This window comes from Homo sapiens, chromosome 6, assembly GCF_000001405.40.
Source record: "Homo sapiens chromosome 6, GRCh38.p14 Primary Assembly".
Classification (NCBI taxonomy): Eukaryota; Metazoa; Chordata; class Mammalia; order Primates; family Hominidae; genus Homo; species Homo sapiens.
Window position 1 is genome coordinate 127,461,561 of NC_000006.12, and position 12,916 is coordinate 127,474,476.

General features: G+C 38.1%; 1 protein-coding gene and 2 long non-coding RNA genes across 3 annotated transcripts in view, besides 1 other annotated feature; 1 reads left to right on the forward strand and 2 right to left on the reverse strand.

Moving 5' to 3' along the window:
* SOGA3-KIAA0408 (SOGA3-KIAA0408 readthrough) overlaps positions 1-12,916 on the reverse strand; it is an 80,930-nt gene that overhangs the window by 23,155 nt on the left and 44,859 nt on the right. Inside the window, exon 7 of the long non-coding RNA NR_174482.1 lies at positions 11,520-11,831. This is a non-coding gene — a long non-coding RNA (SOGA3-KIAA0408 readthrough). The remainder of the gene's footprint in view (positions 1-11,519; positions 11,832-12,916) is intronic.
* LOC124901399 (uncharacterized) lies at positions 2,034-2,974 on the forward strand. The gene is made up of 2 exons (XR_007059750.1): positions 2,034-2,149; positions 2,536-2,974. It is a non-coding gene; the product is annotated as an uncharacterized LOC124901399 (long non-coding RNA).
* Positions 3,384-3,678: a silencer, noted in NCBI's record as "tiled region #7566; HepG2 Repressive DNase unmatched - State 12:CtcfO". NCBI's record gives its function as "represses a minimal TATA promoter and a strong SV40 promoter by Sharpr-MPRA in HepG2 cells {active_cell/tissue: HepG2}" and the evidence as "EXISTENCE:reporter gene assay evidence [ECO:0000049][PMID:27701403]".
* Positions 11,414-12,916, reverse strand: part of MTCL3 (MTCL family member 3) — a 46,362-nt gene continuing 44,859 nt past the window's right edge. The window contains exon 7 of the mRNA NM_001400265.1: positions 11,414-11,831. Within this exon, the coding sequence (NP_001387194.1) occupies positions 11,721-11,831 (111 nt within the window). The 3' untranslated portion in view covers positions 11,414-11,720. The remainder of the gene's footprint in view (positions 11,832-12,916) is intronic.

Consider the following 12,916-nt stretch of genomic DNA (forward strand, 5'->3'; position numbering starts at 1 on the left):
AAATAATTGCCCTATGTTTTAGAAAGAATTATGTCATTCATACCTGATGACATACTAATTTATTTCAATGTATATCAGATTCAAGTGCTTCATCTGCTTCTTGTCATGGTAAAGCTGATCTTAAATTGTACACAGAATCAAATAATAATGAAAATCTTTGACAAAAAGTTTACTCCAAGTTTACCACTTATTCTAGTATTTACCAACTTTTTCTGTTGAAGTTTATATATATATAATTTATATTATATGTTATTTATATAAAATATATAATTTCCAGGCCATATTTCATACCCAAAAGACAGAAAGTAAGTCAATTAGGTGATACGGTGCAAAGTCAAGAAATGTTCAGCACAGCTTTTGATATTTTCCCTTGAAAACTTTTTGTTTTTTAAGAAAACTTTTAAAAGAAAATTTACCACAATTATATACATAAAATGAATGCATTTAAAAGACTGATGCTGGTATACTCAGCCCTACAGTTACATTCAGACATCTTGAACTGCCTGAGGTTTTCAAGCAGGTGTCAGAATGACTGAAAATCTTATGAAAAAAATGCAATTTGTTTTGTAATGCAGTTTTTCTTTAAACCATTTGAACATTTAAATCTTCAAATATGAAATTCACAAATGATTGCCCTATGTTTTAGAAAGAATTACATCATTCATACCTTATGACATACTAATCTTATTTCAATGTATAACAGATATGTAAAGAAATGTACATAATAACACTTAATGGAAAATAAATGTAGAAACACTGCCTGCTGTCAAGAAACAAAAAAGAAAATTCTAAAAAGAAATGGAAAAGATCTATATTAATAATAATATTAAGGCACAATCAAAAACATTTTAAAAAGGGTAAAAGAGAACTAATGCGTGCATAAATGTCACTAGCAGGTGTTTCCAGACTTACAGAATTTTAGAGCCAGAAAGAACTTCTGAAATCATCTAGCTAACCTTCTCATTTTACAGTTGAGGGAAGAGGCCCTGAGAGTAACTCATCTGCTCAAGGTCACAAAGCCACTTAGTGGCCATTCCAAGAATAGAATCCAGGTCTCCTCATTCCTGGTGGAGTGCCTTGAAGTTCAAAATTCCAAGAAGTGCAAGGGAAGAAAATCGAAATAAGAATGCTGGATATGAGAGGAGACTGAGAAGTTGATTTCTGGCTTTGGCAAATTTTAAATTCAGTTTTCTTCTATGTCCAAATGAGAGAGAAGATACTCTATCTTTCAAGTATGACATAAGAATCATATAGCTGAGTATTTATTTATTTATTTTTGAGATGGGAGTCTTGCTCTGTCACCCAGGCTGGAGTGCAGTGGCGCAATCTCAGCTCACTGCAACCTCCGCCTCCCAGGTTCAAGTGATCCTTCTGCCTCAGCCTCCTGAGTAGCTGGAACTACAGGGGCATGCCACCATGCCCGGCTAATTTTTGTATTTTTAGTAGAGACAGGGTGTCACCATATTGGCCAGTCTGGTCTTGAACTCCTGATCTCGTGATCCACCCGCCTCGGCGTCCCAAAGTGCTGGGATTACAGACATGAGCCACTGTGCCCAGCCAGCTGAGTATTTATTACTATCTAAAGAGGCTCGTGTCCTTAGCTAATTGTAAACACTGGGTCAAAATAAAAAGGCAAATGGATTTTATCTTAGCAGTTAAAAAATCTGAAGATAAACATGGCAACATGGCCTTAAGCATGCTAGTGCCAGTACATATTTAATCTATGGTTTTGTTTGCAGAATGATCCTGAAGTGTTACAAAGCAGTTACTCATTTGTTCTCTTTATGGTATGACAACCTGGTTGTTATGAGACTGGAGAGCTTCTGATTTCTTGTTTATAACGTTTTTCCATTGCTTATTCTTTTACCCTTTAAACATATTTAACAATAAAAGGGGTACTGTGTTTCTATTTTCATTGGAAAGAAGATAGAAAAGATTGAAAAAGAGAACAACTTTTAAAAAAACTAAACTTGTTCTTTTTTGTTTGTTTTAGTTTAGTTTTGTTTTTGAGATGGTCTTGTTCTGTTACCCAGGCTGGAGTGCAGTGGTGTGATCATGGCTCACTACAACCTCAACCTCTGGGGCTCAAGCAGTCTTCCAGCCTCAGACTCCTGAGTAGGGGACCACAGGCACTTGCCACCATGCCCAGGTAATTTTTTAATTTTATTTATTTTTTTTTTTTGAGATAAGGTCTTGCTATGTTGCTCAGGCTGGTTTTGAACTTCTGAGCTCAAATGATCCTCCCTCCTTTGCCTCCCAAAGTGCTGAGATTATAGGCCTGAAACACTGTGCCCCGCCTAAACTCATTCTTCTGCATGTTAAAGTTCAAAGGCTACTATAAAGGACGTATTTTAAGAAATCCTTCCTTCTTGAATAATGTCTGCCCCTTGCAATTTTCAAAGTACTTTAAGATCATGAGATCTCAGTTGTTTAGCAGAACTCTTAAATCTTAAATTATCTTCAATTCCTAAGGTCTTGGGTACTTCAATTAACATTCCATTTAACAAATATTTGTGAATACCAATTCTGTGCCAGGTTAGACCAAGAGGACTCAAAGAAGAGGAAGAAATCCTTGTCTTCAACAGGTCTGGTCAGCTCTGAAGATTCCCTGAAATGTGACATGTAGCGTGACTGTTTGCATTCTGAGTAGCCCACTACACTGGTATAAATTCACAAATTTGGAGAGTCTCTCCTAGGAGTACCCACAGCATTCCACCAAGGAGATCACGGTTTAGTGTTACTCTCACTCAGTCCTAGCTGCATACTATAATCACACAGAGAATGAAAAAGAAAAATAGTAATGCTGGAACTCTCCCCAGACTTCTGACTCAGACCATCCAGTGGTGAGGTCCTGGCTTCAGACTTTTGATAAAGTTCCACAGCTGATTCTGTCAAATTTGGTCCTGTGTTATTTGAGTTCTAGAATGGCAATTTCAACTGTGTGTTAATAAATATAATTTTGATCCTCCTAAAATACTGTTTTGGAGTATAAAATTATGAGGATCACACACAGAATATTTACTATCCATGTACATGTTTGGATTATTACTTGCCAGCTAATGTAATATTTTTCCAGTGGGGGATGTTTATCCTTAGAATCATGGGAAACTGGCTGTCTCTTCTATTCTGAAGGCTGAGGACACGTCAACAGGTTTTTTAGCCAAGCACATCCGTCATGGGGCTTATGCGCAGGCATTTCCAGATGACAGAAATATTCAAAAGACACGTTTGAATGATCTGTTCTTTTTAGGTAGTGGTCCAAATTCTGAACCAAACAGTAACATATTTGAGAAATGTGGGCTATTTTAAAACTAGAAACAGACCTTGCTCACATTTTTCAAACTTGTTTTTAGCATCTCATTGTATTATTTACAGATTCTTGACTTGGAGGATACTGATAATGATGACAATAAAATCAAAAATAATAAAAAGGACTGTTTGAGGGCTACCTTTTCTTTAGTGACCAGCAGAGTCCTGGGAATGCTTGTCCACCACAAGAGGGCCACCCTGAGCCACTTACTTCTCTCTGCTAGGATGTTTCAGCAGTAAAGCATGGCTCAGGCTTGGTGAGTGCAATTTGAAGGACACAGGAACTAATCCATATTGCCCCAGGGAGTAACTAATCCACCTATATCTTCTACGAGAAATGTTAGATTTATCACTACCGGGTGGCAGCATTCTATTTCCAATAATTGCCTAGTAAAATACCACTGGTAGAGGAAATAACTATTGGCTACTCACCACTTCGGCACAGAAAAGAAGAGGTAGCACATACTAAGGACTAGAAGGAACAGATCAATATGGGTAGGCTTTGATTAGAGGTCAGGAAAGCCATCTGTTTCATTCACAGGGCATGGAGTGGGGAAACAGGTGGAAGATCTGAATGGGGAACTGCATAGGTGGGTGTTAGATTTTGAGCCCCTGGAGTTCAGGTCAAAAGGAATATGGCATCATGATATGAGAGGGATACAGTAAAGGATCTGGAGGTAAAGTTACAGAACGGGAGGCCTAAAGTCACACTTCAGTGTAGCTCCTAGGCCCACTCTGCAGAATCAGCCAGACCCATTTTCAGGGTCTTCTGCAGAACCATGCAGACCCATTTTCCATGGCCAAGGTCCCTCAGTAAGTCCATATTAGCCTATAAGCACAATACCTTGATGGGTAATTTGCCCATGAACATCTCAAAAATTCATAAAGGAAAAGGGGTTAGGAAGAGAGAGTTACAAAATGGTGGTATCATGTAGGGCAAAAGCTATTTCAAGTGCAGGAAGGAAACAGTAGGTATTTAGTACATCCTCAAAAGCAGCTGTGTCTGACCCTTCCACTGTATTCTGATGTTGTTGACGCTATCAATATATATTGCAAAATAAGATTTCTGCAACCTTATTCTTTTTTTTTTTTTTTGAGACAGAGTTTCACTCTTGTCACCCAGGCTGGAGTGCGATGTCACGATCTCAGCTCACTGCAACCTCTGCCTCCCGGGTTCAAGCAATTCTCTTGCTTCAGCCTCCCAAATAGCTGGGATTACAGGCACCCGCCACCAGGCCCAGCTGATTTCTGTATTTTTAGTAGAGACGGGGTTTTGCCATGTTGGCCAGGCTGGTCTCGAACTCCTGACCTCAGGTGATCCACTCAACTCGGCGTCTCAAAGTGCTGGGATTACAGACGTGAGCCACCGTGCCCAGCCAACCTCACTCTTTCTTTATCCAACTCTTTTTAATCCACACTACTATTTTGAATCCAGTCACTTTCTACAAATATCAGGTATCTTCAAACAAATAGCTGCATCTGAATCAATTACATTCCCTCTGAAGTACGGAGGCTGAATAGAGACTTCAGTTTCCCCTCTTGGACAGTTTTTTTCATATCAAGATGAGGTCCAAGGCCAGGGAGTCCTCATTTTCCTTGACTACCTCAACTAGCTTCACTACGGCTTTTTCCACTAGATGTAATCTAAGCTTATTTACAAACGCTAAGGCCCTCTATGCAGTGGGCCGACAGCCTCAGCAGGTACACATTTCCTTTCGGGCAAAGGCTCAGCAGATACACATTTCCTTTCCTGCTTGGATTCCCAGGAGTCACCTAATGTCCAGAAAAAAATTAATTTCAGTAACTTGTCATGCTGAAACCCAGTTATAAATGACTGATCTAGGCCAATACACAGGATGTTCTATTTAAGAAGTCTAACTCTATTTTGTCTGTCCCGGAGTCAGTGATGCAAAAGGAGTAACACAGAATGTGAAAAAACTGTTTATAAGAAAGATGGAAGGGAGTTATAAACTACAAACTAAACTGAGTGTTCTGACTTTAAGAAATAAGAGTATATAAGTCATTTCTTTAAAAAAGCTCTTAAATTATCTTCCCTTACTAAATCACTTGAGGCAAGTAAGTAAACTGATGAGCTGCTCTCTGCCCCTCATACTCTCTTAATATTTGAATGCACAGGTTAAGGCAGGTACTTTTGACATAAACTTAAAGAGCTAACTTTAAAGGTACATCATGTTGGACAACCTCAAAAAGAAGTGATGCCGTTTCCCAGCCTTCAATAATCACTTATGCATATGCTTGTTAACATAAGCAGCTCAACTCAAAACATTCAGAAGAGACTACAGAAAATAAACGCATAAAGCACACTTTTTCAGAGTCAGTAATTTCCACAGCTCCATATCTGGAGTACGCATGACATTGTAACACTTCAAATAGTCAAGATACTGCACCACTCCTGAATACCTCAGGGTGGTTTGCCATTTTCTTAAGTGAGTTGATGTTCTAAACTTTTCTGAAAAGTTCTAGTTTTTAAATTAGTGTAATGCTCTACACTGTTACTGTTTATTTAATGTTTATTTAGTAAAAAATAATCATTTAAAATCATTTTTAAAATATATCTAAAACTTTGCTGATAATTTAAATAAAAATCATCAAAACAAACGCAAATTTTTATTATCTGAGTTTAATATATGCTAAATAGGAATTTGGATTCAAAAACATTGAGAAAAACATTCAAATATGCAAGTCAATAAAATTTTATTAACATTTTTGTAAAGGCTGAATAACTGCTAACAACCACTGATTATGTATTCTCATCTTAAACTAAATGTTTGCAATTTTATCTTCAGATGTTGAGTTTTGTTGGTATCTTATTTTGAAAAATAGCTACAGAAAAATACATACAACTCTGAACTAAAAAAGTTTTATAATGGTAACACTGAAATTGAATAATCAGGAAATGTCAATAGACTTAAGTTTATTAATCATAAATATCTGGGATATAAGATCAGATGGGGCTCTTTAAGACAACAGCCTGGGCCGGGCGCGGTGGCTCACAACTGTAATCCCTGCACTTTGGGAGGCCGAGGTCGGCAGATCATGAAGTCGGGAGATCGAGACCACCCTGGCTAACATGGTGAAACCCTGTCTCTACTAAAAATACAAAAAATTAGGTGGGCGTGGTGGCGGGCGCCTGTAGTCCCAGCTACTCAGGAGCCTAAGGCAGGAGAATGGCGTGAACCTGGGAGGCGGAGCTTGCAGTGAGCCGAGTTCGCACCACTGCACTCCAGCCTGGGCGACAGAGCGAGACTCCGTCTCAAAAAAAAAAAAAAAAAGACAACACAGCCTGGCTTAACAGTGAGCAGTGCAAGGTAGAGATTTCTGAGGTTTCTCTTTACATCTAAAAAGTGTTATATTTGCTGCTCTTGTTCTTTGATCAAGTGGGTTATAACAGTACTCTACTCAAAAGATGCCCCCAGAAATATTTAAAATATTACCCACAACTTCACTAGGACAGACACAGACTAGAACTGCCAGTAAGTGCAGAAAATACACCTTTAAGCAGGGAAGACATGGATGAAAATGTATTTAAGTTACATGGAAAGGACCTTTAGAGATTCTATGATTTGCACACATTTTCAAAATGGCAAACATGAAAAACAGCCACTACCACTTTCCCTTCTCTCAACTGATCAACTCGAAAGTACAGTTTAGAAGCATTACCACATTTAAGATATTACCACATTTATTACTGTAACTACAAAGGTGTTCTGCCATGTCCAGGCCATGAAACATTCTATTTTGTATGAGTTTCTATCTGAAATTCTAGAAGTAGACTGCTGAGAATATCAGGACCTACCCATGAAATGTGAGTTTCATCAAAATATGAATGAAATTACTTTACTTATCAAAAACCAGATCAAAATTAAAAACGTAGAATGAAATCTTTCATTAGACCTAATTGGTTTACAACTAGGATTTAAGCAGTTATGTCTTCATGCATACTGTGTTTTAACTGTACCATATCCCAGTAGTTTAATAAATGGTCGACTTTTCTTACTTTCTGGTAATATTCTCCACTACCTTCTCTTCAATTTCTACATTCAGTTATGGTGTCTGACCCAAAGCATGACTCTACTAGATGAACTGGACTGTAGTTCTATCAGAATGCAGTTACAAACTCTGCACGAATATTTGGAATTAGGGCTGAGCTACCAAATTGACACTCCAAACTTCGTTGGCAGCTGATTAAATAACCATATCCCATTCTATCACACAAACTAAAGTGAAGATTGGAGAATGCAGGCCAAAACACATTCCAGGCTCAGGACTGAATTTTCCTTTGTTTTATGAGTTTAGTTACTTATGCCTAAAAATAGCCAACTGAATTCCTTTTTTCTTAGATCTAGGCCAAATTAACAAGAAGACACTTCTTCCTATGGCCAAGAATGTGCATACAAGGGAATTTTCTAGAATAAGGCTTGCTCTGTTGAGTTTACTTTGGTGTGATGTTTAAATAGCACAGCTTCAAAGGTCCAAACAAAAGATGACGCCTTGTCTTAATAATTAAGAGTCTTTGCTCTCTTGGTGAATCAAGAAGCCTGGTTGTTCCTCTTTCAGAAACAGCTTAATATAACAAAAATAATGCAAGCAACAGGATCAAAGGGGAAGATGCTGGGGACTCTCTTTCTGAGGTTTTGGGCACCATCTTTGTCAACTTATCTTCCCAAGTCTATGTTCTACGCTTTAAGAGATAGGTGCACCCTGGATACTGGGCGCCCATTGAACAGCTTGAAGTTATAGGGAAAAGATGGCAAGGAAAAAGGTCACTTTGTGCCTGCTGGCAATTTTCTGACCCCACCTTCCACCAACTGGTCCCCAGCATGTCCCCTAAGATAGAGGCAGTTCTGAATGCCCTGACCCTGGATGCATTTCTCATTATACACCACAGTGTGATGGAGCTGTGTGTGTACACACAGGCACAACCGGGAAGCTGGTTTATGCAGTGAGTGGGGCAGAGTGGAAAAGAGCCTCCCTGGAATTCAACTGTTCAGTAAAGTTGATTCACTAACTTCAGAGGAGCTGTTGGAATGATCCCATATCCCCCAGAATCTGTGAGCAGCAGTCAAGTCAGTACTGCTTCAGCCTACTTTCCTCTCCCCAGTATTTCACAGGAGTTTCACATATGGAGGATCTGGATGAGGTTTAAGTCTCATGAAATTCTATAAAATAACTGCCTGTATTAGTCCACTTTCACACTGCTATAAAGAGCTTCCCTGAGACTGGGCAATTAATAAAGGAAAGAGCTTTGACTCACAGTTCTGTATGGTTAGGGAGGCCTCAGGAATCTTACAATCATGGTGGAAGGGGAAGCAGGCACCTTTTTCACAAGGCAGCAGTGGAGAGGAGTGAAGGAGGAACTTCCAAACATTTATAAAACCATTAGATCTCGTGAGGACTCACTTGCTATCATGAGAACAGCATGGGGGAAACCACCCCCATGATCCAATCACCTGCCTCCCTCTACATGTGGGGATTACAGGTCCCTCCCTCAACCTGTGAGGATTACAATTCAAGATGAGATTTGAGTGGGACACAGAGTCAAACCTTATCACTGCTTTAGGAGTTCATAGGTAAGATTAATACCCCTGTTGCCAGAAGGGCAACATAGGGAACATGACCATAGTTCCTAAAATGAGATCTATAGTTGAGGCTGGTGTTTTGGTTAGCTCAGACATCTCTCCTTTCCTATTCAGGTCATAAGTTATCACTGAGGTGTTTGCACCATCTTTGCATATATTTAGGCTGTCAGCCCATCTAAGAATGCCTAGGGATTTTGTTGTAATAACATGTTAGATCACTGTGGGATCATCTTGAGTCTTGAATTCAGTGTGCACACATGCCTGTTTCTTTCAGTGGGTGTGTGACCCTGTGCCCACACACTATTCATCTTGGTTCTCTTTTCTGTTAGGTATTACTCCTATTTACCTTTGATTTTGTGTTTTTGAAAACTTGTATTAATGCAAGCCAAGTTTTCTGGCACGACCACCAGCGCAGAAATATAATTGCTTTATCACTGGAGGTGATATCCCTTCTGGCAAAGGCTGTACAACTAAGTGGAAATGCTGTAGAGAGAATTCAGACATCCACTGAGCAGCTGAAACTTTAAAGTCTACTCAAACCTAGACAACTAATGATCCTATATCTTGGTATCACATAGTTTACTGTAAGCTTTGTTGAGGCTATATAGAATGTGTATTTTAGATAATTCAAATATCTAAGAGTAGTGGTTCTGGGGCATTTTTAAAAATACAAATGCCTAGGTCCGTACATTTTATTTCAATTAGTATGGAGTAGGTCCCCAAATAAAAACATCCCAGAAATTCTGATGTGCAGCTAGTGTTGATAACTACTGATCTAGTTATTTCATTTTTGATTCCTCTCATGATAAAGAAAGCTAAAATGTAAAGCCAGTTTCTTAAAGTCACACAGGGTGGTGAATATGCATGATGCTTCTGAAGTGAATAAGTGCATACCATATCACGTTTCTCCACAAAGACAACATCAGCAATTTGGACAAGCCAATTATTTGTGATGTGGGATTTCAGGGACCTTGAAGTTCTGATCCCTTCCTCCTAAATGCCAGTGAACTTCCCAGTCATTGTAATAACCTGCAACACTCCACACACTTCCAAATGCTCTGTAGGTGGCTGAGAACCTTTTAACAGGTATAACTGGCTCCAAAGATGATAAATATTTCAGCTACATTTCTGCCCTCAAACATTTACTTTCAGTTCCTGAAATGGTGGCCTGGAAACTTATCACGGATCTAACAGACAAACTTTAGGTTTTAAAGTGTTTGTTATCTCTGAGATGAAAAAATTTTAAAAAGCAAACACCTGAATTATATATAATTGATTAAACATGGCATTTATCTCATTTCATTCATTTTTGTAATGAAGCTTTACCTAGCTCTCAGAATCTCTAAAATGAAAAGCCAGAAGTGCATATTGACAGATTCCAACTGTTGGGTAACCACTCCTCACTCCAAGTCTCTCCTCCCCGTCAAAAAACAAACAGAACCAAAAACCAAAACCAAACAAATCCTATAGAGAGTAAGAGCAGTTATTCTAAACTAAAGTTTTAGACTATTGTGAAGGTTTGTTTGTTTGTTTAATTAATACTCAAACGGATGTGTGGGAGGATGAGACTATAAATAAATTATAGTCCCTTGAAAGTTAAATTCCTGGGATTCCAAGGACCATTACCAATAGCAACTTTTATAACAAAGTTTTTCCACATATCCTTTTTGCAGACATGCAAGATACTTCACTTTCCACAGATTTTCATATCCGTCAACCAACCTGTGAATATTTACAAGTATGTGACTTCAACAAGTGCGGAGATTGCTGACTCTTGGGTGGCACTGGATAAACTATCAATGAGATGGACAGAATGGGTCCTTTGGGTAGATGGAGTCTATCCAGGCCACTTTAGGTTTGAGGAGAAAGGGGGATGCTCAGGTTTATTGAAGTTAGTTTATATCTCGAGAGCACCTCCTGCCTGAACTATGCTACCAGTCTTGGATTGTGATCTAATGAAATTCTAGAAAATGACCATACTTTAATGAAATTCTAGAGAATGACTGTATTTTTTCCCTATTCAAAACAATTCACATATCATATTTATAGAGTATTTCCTACTCTGGAGGCAATCTATTATAGAGGATAGGACTCTAAGCAATAAGTTCGATTAGCAATACACGACTTCAAGTATAATAAGTAAAAGCAGGAGTGGCAGGTTTGGTGGGAATCTGGTCAAATAGAGTAGGATAGGGATAATTATTTCCTAAATGAACTAAGACCTAATCCAATCTCATGCTTCCAAGCATATCTCTGTAGACAAAACACATTGGCATTACGACATATTACTTAGTTTTCATGAGGGTCACATTTCATTTATTTCCCATATTTTTTTTCAGATATTTATTGGATGTCAAAATTATCTTGTTAGTTTGATGCAACCTGGCAAAGATACTTTACAAATGTATATACTTTTTGGAAATGTGACCAAATTGTGAATGTCCGTCCAGCTTTTGAATAATAATAGTGAACTACTGAGAAATAATTATGAGACATGTAGTCCATTTTTATATTCAGTATGCCAATTATTTATCAAGAGGAGACAAACAGGATGAAAAAAAGAAGTAAAAATTAAAACAATTCATACAGAAAAATGTCACACTTTCTTACCTGAAATATTTTAGTGTTTGGGCTTCTTATTGAATTTGGTCTTGGTAAGATGAGTTGTATCTTTTTAAAGAAATAAGCAGTCTTCAGTGTTTTTATAGCATTGGTTACTACAGAAATTATACTTCTTTTACTTCTTGTCTTGAAGGGTGAACAAAATAAACAAACTGAAAATACTACAATGAATGGTAAATGATGAAAGATTTACAGTACAAAAAACAGTGTAAAAAGGAAGACAAGTTTAAATATTGTTGTGTAAGAAAGTGATGAAAATAATACAAGAATGAGAATAAGTAAAATGATAGGCTGGAACATCTGGGAAGGTAAATGCAAAGACAAAGAGAAGAGTTAATTAATAATAATCTTTAAAACTTAAATTCACATCAACAAATTTAAGTAGTCATTCAACTTAAAAAAGAACCTCCACCCTCCCTTAAGCCTATATCTATAAAATCTGAAAGCCTAATATACATAGCACTTTCTCTCACTCTAATTTCTATTATTTTCCCTAAGAGTATAACCGAATACATATCAAAATTCAACAAGTTTTATCATAAAACGATATTTTTCATAGCAAAGCAGAGCAACATGCAAGATAAATAAGCGATAGGGCTGCAATGTTTCTAGCTGTACCAACAGGCAGTTAATCTAAAACCATGCTTCTGTACGTAAACTGGCTTTTAAATGTCTTCCGTGTCTTAAAAGCCATGCATGCTGTTGTACTTCCGTGGGTTCTCCAATGGATACAGGACACCAGGCTTGCCAGAGGAAACAGCATTGCCTGTTTTGTTTCATAAATTATCTTTCATGTGGTTAACTCTGACAAAATGCATTGGTCTTTAAATGGCCACCATACCTGGCCAAAGCAGCTCAGTCCAATTCATCCGGTGTGCCTCTACAAATCAGGATGGAGGAAAAATGCTGGTTTTCCCTGTTCTGGAATAGTTATTACTATTTCTCTGAATTAGTGTTGCCTTCAAGCTACCGTATAGACTCCTTCCCCAGTCCTGAGATTCTCCACTATACAACTGAGAGTGATTTTCTCTGGAAATAATGATCATGTTATTTCAACTTATGGTAAAAAAAAAAAAGTGGCTTTCATTTGTTCCTTTCCAGGGGGTTGTAGACACAAAACCATGTCTCTTTACCACTGGTTTCTACATTTACCAGTAGTTATCCATCAGTTCTGTTTTATTTAATTAAATTAATTTTTTTTATTGAGACAGAGTCTCACTCTGTCGCCTAGGCTGGAGGGCAGTGGTGTAATCTTGGCTCACTGCAACCTCCCTCTCCCCGGGTTCAAGTGATTCTCCTGCTTCAGCCTCCGGAGTGGCTGGGATTACAGGAGTGCGCCACCACACCAGGCTAATTTTTGTATTTTTAGTATACACGGGTTTCGC